Source organism: Homo sapiens, chromosome 5, assembly GCF_000001405.40.
Source record: "Homo sapiens chromosome 5, GRCh38.p14 Primary Assembly".
NCBI lineage: Eukaryota > Metazoa > Chordata > Mammalia > Primates > Hominidae > Homo > Homo sapiens.
Window position 1 is genome coordinate 90290072 of NC_000005.10, and position 14862 is coordinate 90304933.

At 37.3% G+C, this 14862-nt stretch overlaps 1 annotated feature.

Moving 5' to 3' along the window:
• Window positions 3861–4155: a silencer, noted in NCBI's record as "tiled region #5802; HepG2 Repressive non-DNase unmatched - State 23:Low". NCBI's record gives its function as "represses a minimal TATA promoter and a strong SV40 promoter by Sharpr-MPRA in HepG2 cells {active_cell/tissue: HepG2}" and the evidence as "EXISTENCE:reporter gene assay evidence [ECO:0000049][PMID:27701403]".

Genomic DNA, 14862 nt, shown 5'->3' on the forward strand with positions numbered 1-14862 from the left:
AATTCTCTCAGATTAGAGCCCCACCTTTATGACCTCACTTAACGTTTATTACCTGTTTACAGTCCCTGTCTCCAAACACAGTCACATTAGGGGTTAGGGCTTCAACATGTGAATTTAGAGGAGGACACAATTCAGTCCATAGCAGTGGCTAAAAAAAAATGGTCTGTTGCAAAATTCTATATGAAAATGATGCTCTAGGAGCACGATATTAAAGTTTAAAAACTTTTTCCTTAAAATATATTATTTGCAAATTTTCTTTAAAATTCATTTTGTTGTGTTAGCTACATACCCTTCACGTCCAAGTGTGGATAAAAGTGTCTTTCTGAAATTTCTCACCTGCATCTACTTGCAATCTGGAAGAACAGACTTCACACTCTTTCAAAAGATATTTAAATTTTCTGTGTAGCTCAACTGTTGTTGTCTCTAACTCCATTTCTATGCTAGAGAAAATGATGCCTTTTACACCATTGAGAGCCTGTATAATCTTGAAAGTTTTCATTTGAACTGATGAAGGAAAAGAGGCCATCCTAGAGTTAGCTTTATTGGAAGCTTCTACTAAGCAAAACTTCAGATTTCCAAAGGAAACTAATTGGAACCCTGAAGCAGATGGGAAAAGCAGAAATTTCGGAACACCTCGGTGACCTCATTACAAGCATAATGAAGGAGGCAACGATGGAGTTAATTAGAAGAGAGGCAAGAAAAAGATTAAATGAGAGTACAAAAAAAAATGTAACTCAGAGAAAGAGAGGCATTCAGCAAGAAATAGAATATGCTGATCTCTGCAAAACTATTCAGAACCGAGGGAGATGGGAGCTAGAATCAAACAAAAGGCATATAAACCAGGTGGCCACTGAGGATGAAAAGTCTGTAGAAAACACAAAGAGCGGGCACCTGGGAAGGAATGACCAGATATCTGCATCAAGCAGAAAATATAGACTTGGTAGCCAAAGGAATTTAGTTAGTTACACAAGAGGAGTCGTTCTTAATTGGGTGACACTGATTGTGTGCTTGTGTGTGTGTGATGGATAAAAGTCATGGATTTCTTAATAGTCACAAATAGATATTAGTCCAAATTTGTCCATTGCCACTTAAGGCCACCTTAAACTGTTAACATCTTTACCACTTTCTAGCCTAAGGGCTATTACTCCACTATGTGTAGAGACCAAACAGACCTCTAAAGATCATTATTTTCATAAGCAATATTTGCCCTTCAGACGTAGGCTGCAGATGGTAAATTTTAAAACTTGTCCATGAAATGGCATTTTAGACATGTAGTTTGTCCATTTGTTTATGGCTCATACTCATTTTGAGAACAACAAGAAGACAGTTTCATAGCTCTAAAATTCACGTGTGAAAGTTTGTTGCAAGAAAAGAATACCATGCTTTCTGGTCCAAATATAATTATGCTGCTTGTGTAGACTGGAGGCTTAAATTGTAAGAAATTGTAGAGACAGGATCCAGAAAATATTCAGTTGACACAGACTAGCTTCTAGAAAGTTCAGCTCCAAACTTTATTTCCGAATCATATAGATTAGCTAGTTACAATGAGCCCACAGATTAGAAATTTACCACATATTTTCTTTATTTATATTTGAAATAATCCAGGTCTACAGGCTGTGGTTGAATTGAACATGAAACCGCAAGTTTGATTTGCTGTAGTTCACCTTAAAGCCACGTGGTGATACATTTATGGCTCCAGGTTTTCACTCATGTACCTCCCCCAGAGATGTCACCGGGCAAGCATCAAATTGGACTAACCAGTCATTTTTGCTCTAGTCCTACAGTGATCAAGAATGTAAGATTTCTTCTAGCTCAGCTTGTTACATGAATAATGTAGAAGGTACATTTCTCACATGTATCATATCTTCAAACCTCTTACAGAGCTATATTCCATTGTATAGATAAATTAAAAGTTAATGCTTCAAACTTCCTTTACAGCATAAAAGAAGAAATAAAATTTTAAAATATAAACAAAGAAAAGGGGCAAGTTATTTTGAATGTGATTTTTGGACAGTTGATTCCAAATAAGAGGAAGTAATATCTCATCAGAACTTTGGTAGGAATTTATACTACTGCAGCCTACTTCATTTAGCTCCATCATGGCAATTGTTTCCTAGTAACTAGTCTTCCCAGCAAATCAGAAATTCATTTTTTAAGCATGGTCTTTTTAGTTCACTAATCTCTTTAATTACCCCACTTCAACCCTTTTAACTCTCTATCTGCCAGGCCAATTCCAAAGCCTAAAACTTCTAATTATTCTCTTCTATTTCCTCTGCCCTGTTGAACAGAAGTGTTTAACAGTCTGACTTCTGAAAAAAGTCAGATAACCATGTTGATTGGCTTCTACAAACTTCTACTTCCTGAGTTTTCTCCAATTGCTTTTAACTTCCAAGTTTACAGTAAATGAATAAACAGTAATAGCTATCCAATTGTGAGCTCTGGAGTCATTCCTATCTCATCCCTTTTTAACCCCTCCCCTCCTGCCATCTTCACTGTGGTTTATGCTTGTTAATAATCTTGGCTCCTTGTGAAGATTCCTTCTCTTGCTTAGCCACTTGGACTTAAACTGTGCTTTGAACTGTAGTTGTTTATATTTGGCTTTGCTTCTTTGATGGCACTCGTTCTTTGAAAAATACAACAATATTCGCTATTTAAGGATAGGTCTTAGTCACCTTTGATTCCCTCACTCAAAGATATAATAGCAGCCACTAAAAGATATCCTGTCCCCGTCACCTAACCAAGTTCTTCTTCTTCTTGGCTCCTTCCAGGTAGGGAGCAACTTTGAACATCATTCAACCATATTCAGGACCCAACACTGTTCCATAACCCTTCTACAAATTCCTGAATTGTATCAAGTTTCCTTCTGTGTTCTTCCCAATATCTAACATTCTCTGGAGAACTGCCAAGCACTCCCACCCCTCATTTGCAGCATACACCCAACTTTATCAATCAGTCCAAAGTCATTCAACAATATTAAGATGCTTAACTTCTTAACAATTCAAGGGCAATTATCAATTTCTCAAGAGCTGAGTTTGGAAATGCCACTCACAAGATTCTGACAAGCATGGTGCAGACACAAGGTGGACTCCAAGCCTAAGCCATTTGTCTGGAGATCTGCTAGTTAAATTGGTTTTATTTGAAAACTAAATGGGAAAACCTAATGAAGGAAATGGTATGAAAGATTAAAGGCACAAAGGAGGGAGGAAGTTTACGGATACCAAATTGAGTTCATGAGAATGCTGGAAAATATTGTATATACTGATCAAATGTGTGAAAGTGATATGGTTTGACTCTGTGTCCCCACCCAAATCTCATCTTGAATTGTATTCCCATAATCCCCATGTGTTGTGGGAGGGACCTGGTGGGAGATAATTTGAATTATGGGGGCAGTTTCTCCCATAGTGTTCTGGTGGTAGTGAATAAGTCTCACGAGATCTGATGGTTTTATCAGGGGTTTCTGCTTTTGCATCTTCCTCATTTTCTCTTGATGCTGCCATGTAAGAAGTGCCTTTTGCCTCCTGCCATGATTCTGAGGCCTCCCCTGCCACGTGGAACTGTAAGTCCAATTAAAACTTTTTCCCTTTTTTTTTTTTTTTTGAGACTGAGTCTTGCTGTGTCGCCTAGGCTGGAGTGCGTGATCTCGTCTCACTGCAACCTCCACCTCCCGAATTCAAGCAATTCTCTGCCTCCACCTCCCGAGTAGCTGGGATTACAGGCGCCTGCCACCATGCTGGGCTAATTTTTGTATTTTTAGTAGAGACAGGGTTTCACCATGTTGGCCAGGCTGGTCTTGAACTCCCGACCTTGTGATACACCCGCTTCAGCCTCCCAAAGTGCTGGGATTACAGGCGTGAGTCACCGCACCCAGCCTCAAACTTCTTTTTCTTCCCAGTCTTGGATATGTCTTTATCAGCAGCATGCAAATAGACTAATACAGAAAGCCAGCATCAATCACTAGGGAAAGCACCAGAATAGACAAGCAACAGGGAGCAGAACACATATTCCAGGGTGACAAGGCAAACAGAGTAGGGTGGGAGTGAAGGCATGCCTTTCCTTATATGGAGCTGAGATGTGGTGAGAACAATGCGGTGTGATGACAGGAGTAGAATGGGTGGGAATGAGTAAGCCAAGAATGGAGTGCCAAGGCCTTTGCTCTCACAGAAGAGGGGAAGAATGGAAATAAGACCACATTATTAACAGATTGTGCTCCACTTTTAAAATAAATCTAAAATTCCATTGTTGTACATTGACACACTCTTACACAATTAGTTCTGGTTCTATTTTAAATCAGAATTATATGCTTGGAGCAAGTATGTTCTATATTACATTTGAAAGTTTCCTGTACGAGGAGCACACTTGGTGATGAGGGAAGGAATAATAATACAATAATAATGCCACCATTTATTTATATAAAGTTTTATCATAATACTTTTTGGCAAAATACTTATTTAATTGTATAAAATGATTGTATGTGATATATAATATTTTATTGATAATAATATAATAATGAAGACTGTATAATATATAGTATAACATAATATAATATAATAAAAAATACTGTAACACATTTGTCTCCAAGCCTTTACTAAATCCTTGCCTTCTTCCCTCGACTCCTTGCTAGGTTTGACGTTGTTCACGTTCCTCTTCATCTGTAATTGAATTGTACATAAGAGTACTTTACATTGGAGTACTTTCCCCTCCGCCCAGTAGGGGTCTTGCTTTGTAGTTGCTCTTTGCACAGGTGAGAAAAGAAACCAGCCCTTTCGCCACTGAGGGGACTGCTGCTTTTTGCTTTTTTAGTCACATTATTATAAGAGCATCAGTGTTCAGGGACATATTCTGCTCATTTATCTAATAATCTCTGGAAGCTTTCTTAAAAGAACCAGAGCTCTTAGTGCAGCTTCCTGAATGTGATCAGGTAAACATCAGTTCAAATTTTCAAATCTCAAAATTATACAGAGGCCAAGGAACTAGAGAATAGAGACCTTCTCATTCAGTTCCCCCAGAGAAGAATATCAAAGAAAGATAGGCTGCATTGTGAGTAACTCAAGTTCATAGGTAGACAGTCACCAAGGAAATTTTCATTAAGGTTTGATGCCAAGGAAAGCCATAGAATAGCCTACAGGAAGTATTAGGTCAAAACCCTATGGAAGGGAGACAAGATGATAAGGGACAGAAAGGTGTAAAAGAGGAAGAGAAGGAAGAAGAAAATGGTATTCTTTTTTAAAAATGCATATGATACCACCTACATGTAAACCACCTTTACAAATAAAGTACATCTGAAAAAGGCCCACTCTTCAGTTAGATCTTAGATAACCTCTTATCTCAATGGCTTACTTCACTCCCACAGTTGTCACTTTCCTCAGAGCCAGGGAGATCTAAGTTGTCAACTAATAGATAATGTAAGATTACTTAGACGTCATGTAAGCTTTTAGCCACACAGAAATACAATGTTATACTTCTTTTTCAAGGCTACAGGGTTTAGTCAAACCATGGTTTTTGGGGAAAACAAGAGTCTGACAAATGTTTGATGATTACAGAATACATGATCCTTTAAGATGTGAAATCTCACAATTATGACATTTTAAATGACTCTACACTCCCCTTTCTGAGAATACAGAATATAATCTCAGTTTTTGCAAAATGTTTTCAGTGCGTATATATGCATTTGCTTATATACATACAAACATATATACAATATATCTTTTGAAATATGATGGCTTGATGTTTAAAGTTTTCTGACACTAAACTGGATTTTATTTTGAATATAATCCTTTATAATATAATACAGTCCTTTTGTTTCAGTAAATTCTTTTCTTCCTGTTTTCAACATCTTAATGCTACATTATGAGTGCAATTCATACTGCAATAGAGCAACATAAGGCAGTATAACACAATTAGAAAGCACTTGTCTTGTTGGCTCTAGGTCTGAAAAGAAACCGAAAAACAAAAAGAAAGCACTTGTTTGCTATAGATATAGCATCAATGTCTCTGAAAGAGTTAATATTACTTCCAAAATACTAAGCCAGGGACAGAGGAAAGCAGTGAAAAAATTGGTTCAATATGATATTGATTTGTGGAATTCTTGAGTTCAGAGCAAGAGTTCCCCACTTAGTCTATAGATCCAATCTAGATATTCCTGGAATACATAGTTCAGGCAGAGCTCACTGGAGATCTAGCAATATAAACACTAACCAAATTAACTCTAAGATACTTTAGATACTTGTTCGTAAACAATGGTACCAGTGCACTCCTGTGTACTCTTAGACCTTCCCATACTATCCATCAAGCTGTGAAATGCCCAGACATACTCCAGCCACCAAGTAAAAATGGATGGCATTTAATAAAAGCAAGTCAAAGTTAACATTTTGAATCAATTTCTTTCCCTAATATAGCAGCAGAGAGTGATTTAAAGCAAATGTTTTAATTATGCATTTCCTCTGGCCGATCCTAATCTAGCATTAAAACAGTGCCTCCTACAACTTTGTCACTCCCACCTGCCACTGCTAATGTTGTAGTTGTGTAGGCATAACCTATGTGCATTTAGGTCCAAATTTAAAATATTCTGGAAGTTAGTGTTCCTTTCCAATGTACTTTTCTATATACAAACAGGAAAAAGTTAAATCGAGGCAAAAATCTGTAACTCTAAGGACACTTTGTCTTAAACATTTTCCTCACCATTTCTAATCATCTTTATAAAACTGTTTTGTCAAATAACAGCAGTCAAATTTTTACAGCAGTCAAATTCTTAAATAAAAATAGCAGAAAATTATAAAGAAATAAAGAAATGAACAAACAGCTCCTTGCTCCAAATGAAAACATTTCCTATTATATTCCGTCAGTGTAGTTATAGCTTAAAGATATAAAGGGAGTGTCCAAAGTAGTGTGTAAACAATAAATATTATCTAAAAATGAAACATACTTTATTAGCTGTTTAGGGCTTTCTATTTCTTCTGGCTAATAAAGTGGAATTCAAATATTACATTTGAAGCTGAATCATAAATCCATCAAAGAGCTTATTTTCCCCAAATCCCAACTTCAAAACATACGGAAAATTGCCTAAAGGTAGAGAAAGTTGTTGCTCTTATCACACTGTGCATGTAAATTCCCAAGATGATTGATTTAACGAGGTTTGCACATTAGAAGCCTTTTCCATTGTTACAATAAGAGGAAATCACAAGAAAGATTAATGCCCTCTGCATGGTGCCACTGTATTAAAATGTCTTTGAAATGTCTTCACTCCAGGAGCATTTCCTACCCATGCCAGTACTTAGTAAAGTTGGTCTCAGTGTAAAGGATTTATTAGTTACAGCCAATGACGCTGTTGTGCTGGAAATAAATACCTGCAATATGCTTACTTTCCAAGAGACGTATAAACCAGTCAGTTTCCAAACAAAATTTAACTTCATGGCCTAGTACAAGGAGAGCACGTCTCTGAGATGCTTGCAAGTGAGGCCACCCACAGGTCTGCCACAGTATCTAGGATCTTGTCACAACACTGCAGTGTTACCAAATGGGAAGCAAAGCCATGAGCCCTCCTATCACTTGGAAAGCTTCTCACACTTAGATCCTCACTGGCATTTTCTCTAAAGTAATGGAATGTTTTCTCGCTCTCACCTTTCCTCTTCTTCGCAGACACAGGAGAAAAAATATTTCAATCTGCTCTTACAATCTCTAGGATGGTGCCATACACCTGAGCCTGTTTTCTCATACTGCTTGGATTATATAAAAGAGGTGACTTCAGAGAATAATTTTTTAAATGATTAAGACTAACACTCCTATACCCATATACAACCAATAGCATTAACTGTGTACCAATTATATGTTCCGTATTGAGCTAAGTGCTGGGATATACACATGAAACAATTTATGAACAAAAAATTATGTATTATTTCATTACCATGAAGTAAAATAATAAAGTCTAAAGTAAGTAGCATATACAACAATAAAACAAGTTAAAATAAGAAATATCATATGAAATGCAACAGAACTGTGATTGACAGATACCAAAATGTACATGGCATAGAAAGGCAATTGTTGGCATGCAACAAATCTTAAATCAACAAGCACAGAAATAGAAAGGTTTCTATCTAGTATATCTATATTATTCCCTGGTATTATGCATTTCTGTTTCTTTGCCTCTCCTCATGCTCCCCTGGTCTGGAATGTTTCATCTCTTCTCTGTTCATCCAAGTGATAATGTCCTTAAGGACCCAACTGAAATCCCACTTCCCCATGGCAACCCCAAACCCCATCATTCTCCCACTTCTATAAACTTTTACAGTTTTTCTAGTAACCATCTCATACTTCAGTGTATATTGGCCCATACTGTTTACTATTTTTTCCCCTTAACTAATTATCCTAGCTGGCTTGCAAGCTTCATGAGAGTAGGAAACAAGTCTTCTATGACTTCTGTTTCCTCGTAACAATTATTATAGGAGTGAGCACGTTTTTATTTGCACTTAATAAATACTTGACACTTTGGTTTGATGTAGGATGGCCTGTTACCAAAAGACTTCGTGAGGTTATAAAAAAGTTGTTAAATGCAGAATGGAAACATTAATTTATTCACCACTTCAAAGTGAATAAACAAAAATAGTCATCAAAATATATAGAAAACACAGACACTGAGGTACAAATTATGCAGTGGTAAATGTTTAACTCATTCATTAGTTTAAAACAGTAAAAATTAGAATTGGGAAAAAATCCATAGGTAAACACAATAGGAACAAACAGTAATAGATGATGATTAATCCATAAGCAAATACAATACGAACAAACATTCATGTATTAACTTCTAGTTTCTTTGCCTTGTTCCAAAAATTCTAGCATTGCTTCCTAGGCATCTCTCTCCCTTGCAATGAAAAAGTTAAGATTAACTGTCTGCAGATCACGAGGGTGTGGGACAAGTAGAAAAAAGCAAAGAGCTTGTACACACGAGGCATTCAGGAGCCATGTACGGAGAAAATTGAAAGAGAATGAAAAGAAAAGCTGTTCAGGGAGCTGCTGGTGAGAGAGGTAGGGGTGAAAACAAAGACCTGGATTCCAGTTATATTTAGCTGCTAACTAGCAGAAGGATTTAGGAAAGTTATTTAAACTCTTTGAATTACAGATTACACACGTATCTGTAAAATCAGAATAATAAAACCTACCATACAGGATTGTTGGGAGGATTAAATTAGTTCCTGGCTCATTATTGACACTCAGTAAATAGAGCAAATCTCACATGTTATTATCAATAATAGGCCTTGAAATTTTGGCAATCTCACCTCAGCCTCCCAAGTAACTGGGACTACAGGCACACGCCACCATGCCTGGCTAATTTTTTATATTTTTTGTAGAGACGGGGTTTCACCTTGTTGCCCAGGCCACCCTTTCCCTTTGTTTGGCTACTTCTTTGAGCATTCAGTGTCTTCCAATCCAACTTCTATCTTCACACTTTCCTCCTCTTGATATTATTTTCATGCCTTCACTTTCATCTATTCTATGGCAAGCACATATTGCCCCTGAGAGTACAGAAAGAAAAAACGCAAAGAAGAAAAATATGAATTTTTGTGTGTGTGTTTAATAAGTTGAATCAGCTGGGCGAGGTGGCTCACACCTGTAATCCCAGCACTTTGGGAGGCCGAGGTGGGTGGATCACCTGAGGTCGGGAGTTCCAGACCAGCCTCGCCAACATGGTGAAACCCTGCCTCTATTCAACACACCAAAATTAGTCTGGCATGGTGGCTCATGCCTATAATCCCAGCTACTCAGGAGGCTGAGACAGGAGAATCGCTTGAACCTGGGAGGTGGAGGTTGCAGAGAGGTCAGTGAGCTGAGATCGCACCACTGCACTCCAGCCTGGGTGACAGAGCAAGACCCTGTCTCAAAAATAATAATAATAATAAGTTGAATTGTATGAAATGGCCATTTTGTAGGGAAAAGTTTATGTATATGATATATGTTTATAACAGTATGTCTATCTACAAACATTATAAATACCTTCTAATGTTTTATTGTTCTGAGCTTATGAAAAGTGAAGATACATTTACTTTAGTAACATTGCAAAGCCATGTTCAACATGTGGAGAAATTTCAAAAGTGAGCCATAAAACTCATACAAAAGGTTATACAGTTAAGTTTCTTCAGTTGAAAGCAAGAGAAGCCAACTCTGGCCAATTTAAGCATAAAAAGTAATTTATTGGAAGGCATAGGATAGTTCATAGGATTTTCTTTTCTTTTTTGAGACGGAGTCTTGCTCTGTCATCCAGGCTGAAGTGCAGTGGCACGATCTTGGCTCACTGCAAGCTCCGCCTCCCGGGTTCACGCCATTCTCCTGCCTCAGCCTCCCGAGTAGCTGGGACTACAGGCGCCCGCCACCAAGCCCGGCTAATTTTTTTGTATTTTTAGTAAAGACAGGGTTTCACCATGTTAGCCAGGATGGTCTTGATCTCCTGACCTCATCATCCGCCCGCCTCGGCCTCCCAAAGTGCTGGGATTACAGGCGTGAGCCACCACACACGGCCAGGATAGTTCATAGGATTTTTTAAAAATCTGAACAATCAATTCTTGGGAAACATTGAAGTAGGGCAACCATAGACCTCAAGAGCAAGAATTAATGTTCAGAAACCTTAGGAAGGTCCCCAGAAATGATGAAGTTCTATTTTTTTCATGGGTTTTCCTTTCATGATTCAAAGTTCAGGTAGAGTCTAGCTGGCCTACTTTAGGCCAAGGCTCCACACAGAATCCCCATGTTGTACAACTCTAGGGGCCAAATTCCTATTTAGTCTGTGACTGAACCAGTGTGAAAGATGTTCCTTGGAATTACATGACACGGGATCTGGCGTTAAAGCATGTGGACTGACTGTTCCAACAGGGCAGACAAAATTTTACTTTTTTGCCCCCCAGAAGTAAAATTTTACTTCCCAAAGCTGGAGGAAGGAAGAAGAGAGGTCTACCAGAGCATGTGTCTGTGTCCAGTGACAAAGGGCAAGCAAAAGATACTCTTCTGAGATGAGTAACCTGGAAAAAAAATCACACTTATTTTCACAAGTTACACTTTAATTGTTTCTGTTACTGAACCCTGTAAGAGAACATTCTCATAGCTGCTTATGAGACGATTTTTACAATTGTTTAGCTAAAGTATTATAAGAATATGAGTCTTCAAAGCACAGGGCTTCTTATTGCTTATGGGTGTGAAGAGGAGGGGTTCTTCTTAGCTGGAAATAAGTCAGATGCTTCTATAGAAAAAAAAAAATAAGCCCATAACCCTAGCCAGGAAGGATGAGGATATTCATGCATCAATTATCATAGTTCTGCCAGTCAGATATACAGGAAGTATACACTGCAGACCTGAAACCAGATCAGGAAAAGCACATCCTAAACAGATGGCGTTCAGCCAAGCAAAGTGTCTTTTATTAAGATTCCACACCTCCAGGTGCACATATAAGTTTCATGCTACCACAAGACAATGTCGAGACTTGGCTTCCTGAGTGACCTGGTTGCCAGTTTCTACCCCATATTTTGTGGGTACAGCTAAAATATCACAAGTGGTTTAAGCTCAGATTACAATCTTGGCTCCACCATTTACTTTCTAGTTTTATGAGACCCTGGGCAAGTAATTTATTCTCTATGTCTCTCAGTTTTCTTATCTGGAAAAAATGGGAATAATATTCCTGTCCCACAGGGTTGCATATTATTACATAAGTTAGTGCATGTACAGTGTTTTGAATGTGCCTTGGGACTTCATAAATACTCAATAAAAATTAGCTAGATATTTTTCTCCTAACTCTCCTCGTATGCAACTATTATTGATTCCATAATTATGGTTATACAATCACCTTTCACCCTTTTAGTTTGTATACATGTATGTCCGTTTCTCTGGACCATAACCTTAGCTTTCCTCCAAACTATATTCTATGGTTTCATCTATCAGAAAACCAACATAGAGCACTTCTTTTGGTTCGACCCAGTTTTCTTCTTGGTCACCCATTGCCCTCACAGTCAGTTCTTAGTCTGATCTTTTATGACTTCAGATATGTGAGCAAACCAATGAGGAATCTGACCCTAGGTATTCAAGACATAACTCTCATATTGTGTAGAAAAGAAAATCAAAGCAATTAGCAAGGCATTAAGTTGGTAGTGAAGCCACCAGCCCTTTGAGGCTAGAATATAGCTAACTTGGGACAAAATTCCATAATCTGGGAATTTGACTCATCTATGCTAAAAATTTTCTTTCTAGTGTCCCTCTATGCTTAAAGGTCACAAAGAAATTTCAAATACTAACAAGGTGTCTTGGGTAGCAAGAGCTCAGTGGCATACAGCACTCAAATTTGTCCCAAGGAAGGAGCCAGGCCAGGAGCTCATAGAGCAATAGCAAGCCATTGAAGCAGAAGCAAGTAACACATGTTGGTAGCTGTACCATTAAGAGTTGCAATGGATTTGGCTAAGATGTAAAAATAAAGCCTCAAAAAAATGAAAGAGGTTGGGCGCAGTGCCTCACGCCTGTAATCCCAACACTTTGGGAGGCTGAGGTAGGTGGATCACCTGAGGTCAGGAGTTCGAGACCAGCCCAGCCAATATAGTGAAACTCTATCTCCACTAAAAATACAAAAATTAGTCAGGCATGGTGGCAGGCGCCTGTAATCCCAGCTACTCGGGAGGCTGAGGCAGGAGAATTGCTTGAACCCAGGAGCTGGAGGTAGCAGTGAGCCAAGATGGCGCCACTGCACTCCAGACTGGGCAACAGAGGGAGATTCCATCTCAAAAAATAATAATAATGATAAAATAAATAAAAATAAACAGAAAGAAAAAAACAGTACTCAGCATGCAGGTAAAAGGTAAGGTTTATTTGAATGAATTCAGTTAATTTGGTAATGATCAAAAGACAAGGAGATAACAGTAACATCTGGATAAAATAATGTTCTACCATGCATTTTCATTGTCTACTCAGTAGCAATTTCTCTGTCTCTTAATTACTAAAGCACTCAAATTCATTCAAATCTAAGTTGGCCATGTTCTTTCCAAAAGACACCTTCTACCCAACCCCAAGAAGTTAGGTTTGTTTGGTCCAAGCCAATTATGGTAATTCCATTTTCCTTATTTTAGGAATGGGCATGTAATAAAAGACTCACCTGTAAGAAGTAAGGGGAGACCTCTGTGGATGGATAGATGAGCAAGGTTTGTCATTTTTTAAAAAGGCAAGAAGAAAATGGTAAGAGAAAGAATCAAGCATTTATTCTTTTTCCTGTATTTTGAGTAACCAAATAGTTTTTGAGAGTTATTCTTTATTCAAGAACACCAACTAAAAAAATGCAACCCTTAAAAGAACAGTGAATCTAGGCAACAACCATCAATAGATGTCAAAATATTATGCAAAAGTTGATGTGGAACTTTATAGTGGATGGAATTTTATAGTGGATGGATCTTATTGACAACTTCTGAATCCACAGATGAATTTTAGTATACTAAAAGTAGAACAACAAGGCTGTATCTGTCCTCCAATTTGAAGTTTGGGGCTGTATAAAGTATCACTTGTAAAATATTCTTACAAAACAAAAGTGAATCTTAATCTATTCAAGTCTCTATATTTAAATCTCTAGTTTGGAAATATGAGGAGAGATAATTAGGTTAAAATCATCGCAAGGAAGCAACCAGCCAAATCCAGAACACAGGATAAACTACAGGACAAACTAGTTTCTTCAAGAATATGAGGAGAGAAGGACTCTTGTAGATTAAAAGATGTTTAGAGAAGCATAACAACCAAATGCAGTGTATGAACCTTATTTGGATTTTTTTCTTTAGAAAAAAAATTGAACACAGATTAGTGTGTAAATAAGTTTAAGAAATTATTATTTTCATTACATGTGATAACAGCATCACATTTAAATTAAAAGTCCTTAGGTGCTTAAAATGCATGCTGAAATATTTGTAGATAAAATATATAATACTTACTTTAAGATAATCATGTTTAAAAGTGTAGAAAAGGAATAAATGAAACAGATTGGCAAATATCTGTAATTGTTGAAGCTGGGTGAAGGGTGTATGATTGAAATTTTCTGAAATTGAGATTTTAGACATATGGGAAAACTGTAACATGAGAAATGATGCACTCTCTTCCCATTTCCAACTTCTGAATATTATTGTAACCATGAGGGGACAACTCTTCTTATGGCAGAGCACAGAAAGAGAAAAAAAAAACAGACCTTGATGACATCATGAGCTAGTGGATTATCCAGCCCTTAAATCATTTTACTCTGTGATTTTACTATGTCAAGTAAAAAATGCTTTATTATTTCATCTAATTTTAAAATGAGTTTTCTGTTACTTGCAGCCACAATTATCTTAATTGATAAAATGTTATATATAAAGTTATTTTGTTGCTGTTTTTAAATTATTTATTTTTAATTAACCAAGTAATTACACGTTCATTGAAGCAAGTTATTATACGCTCATTGAAAAAAAAACAAAAAAGAATATAGAACACAGATTATTATTCCCCTTCATGTGGCCCATCTCCCTCTCCTTAACAGAGGCAACCACCCTTAACATATTTTGATTTAAATGTTATTGGAATATCTGCATCTATGTTTGCCTAGATGACATTGTTTATGAGGACTGCTTTGTGAGTCTGTGTGCCTATGTATCTATGTGTATCATCATTTGTGGGACCTGATCCTTCTGGGACAGACAAGGAATCTGTCTTTTCATTCACTTCTAATTATCTCCCCCCAGTGGCTAATGTAGCACTAAAATTTCACCATGCACTGAGTAAACCCTTATTTGTAGATAATATTAATGGTGATAAGAATAGCCAGGCTTACAAGAATCATTTCCAAACTGCACTCAAACTGAACTCCAAGTCTGCAAAAGCAATATTGTA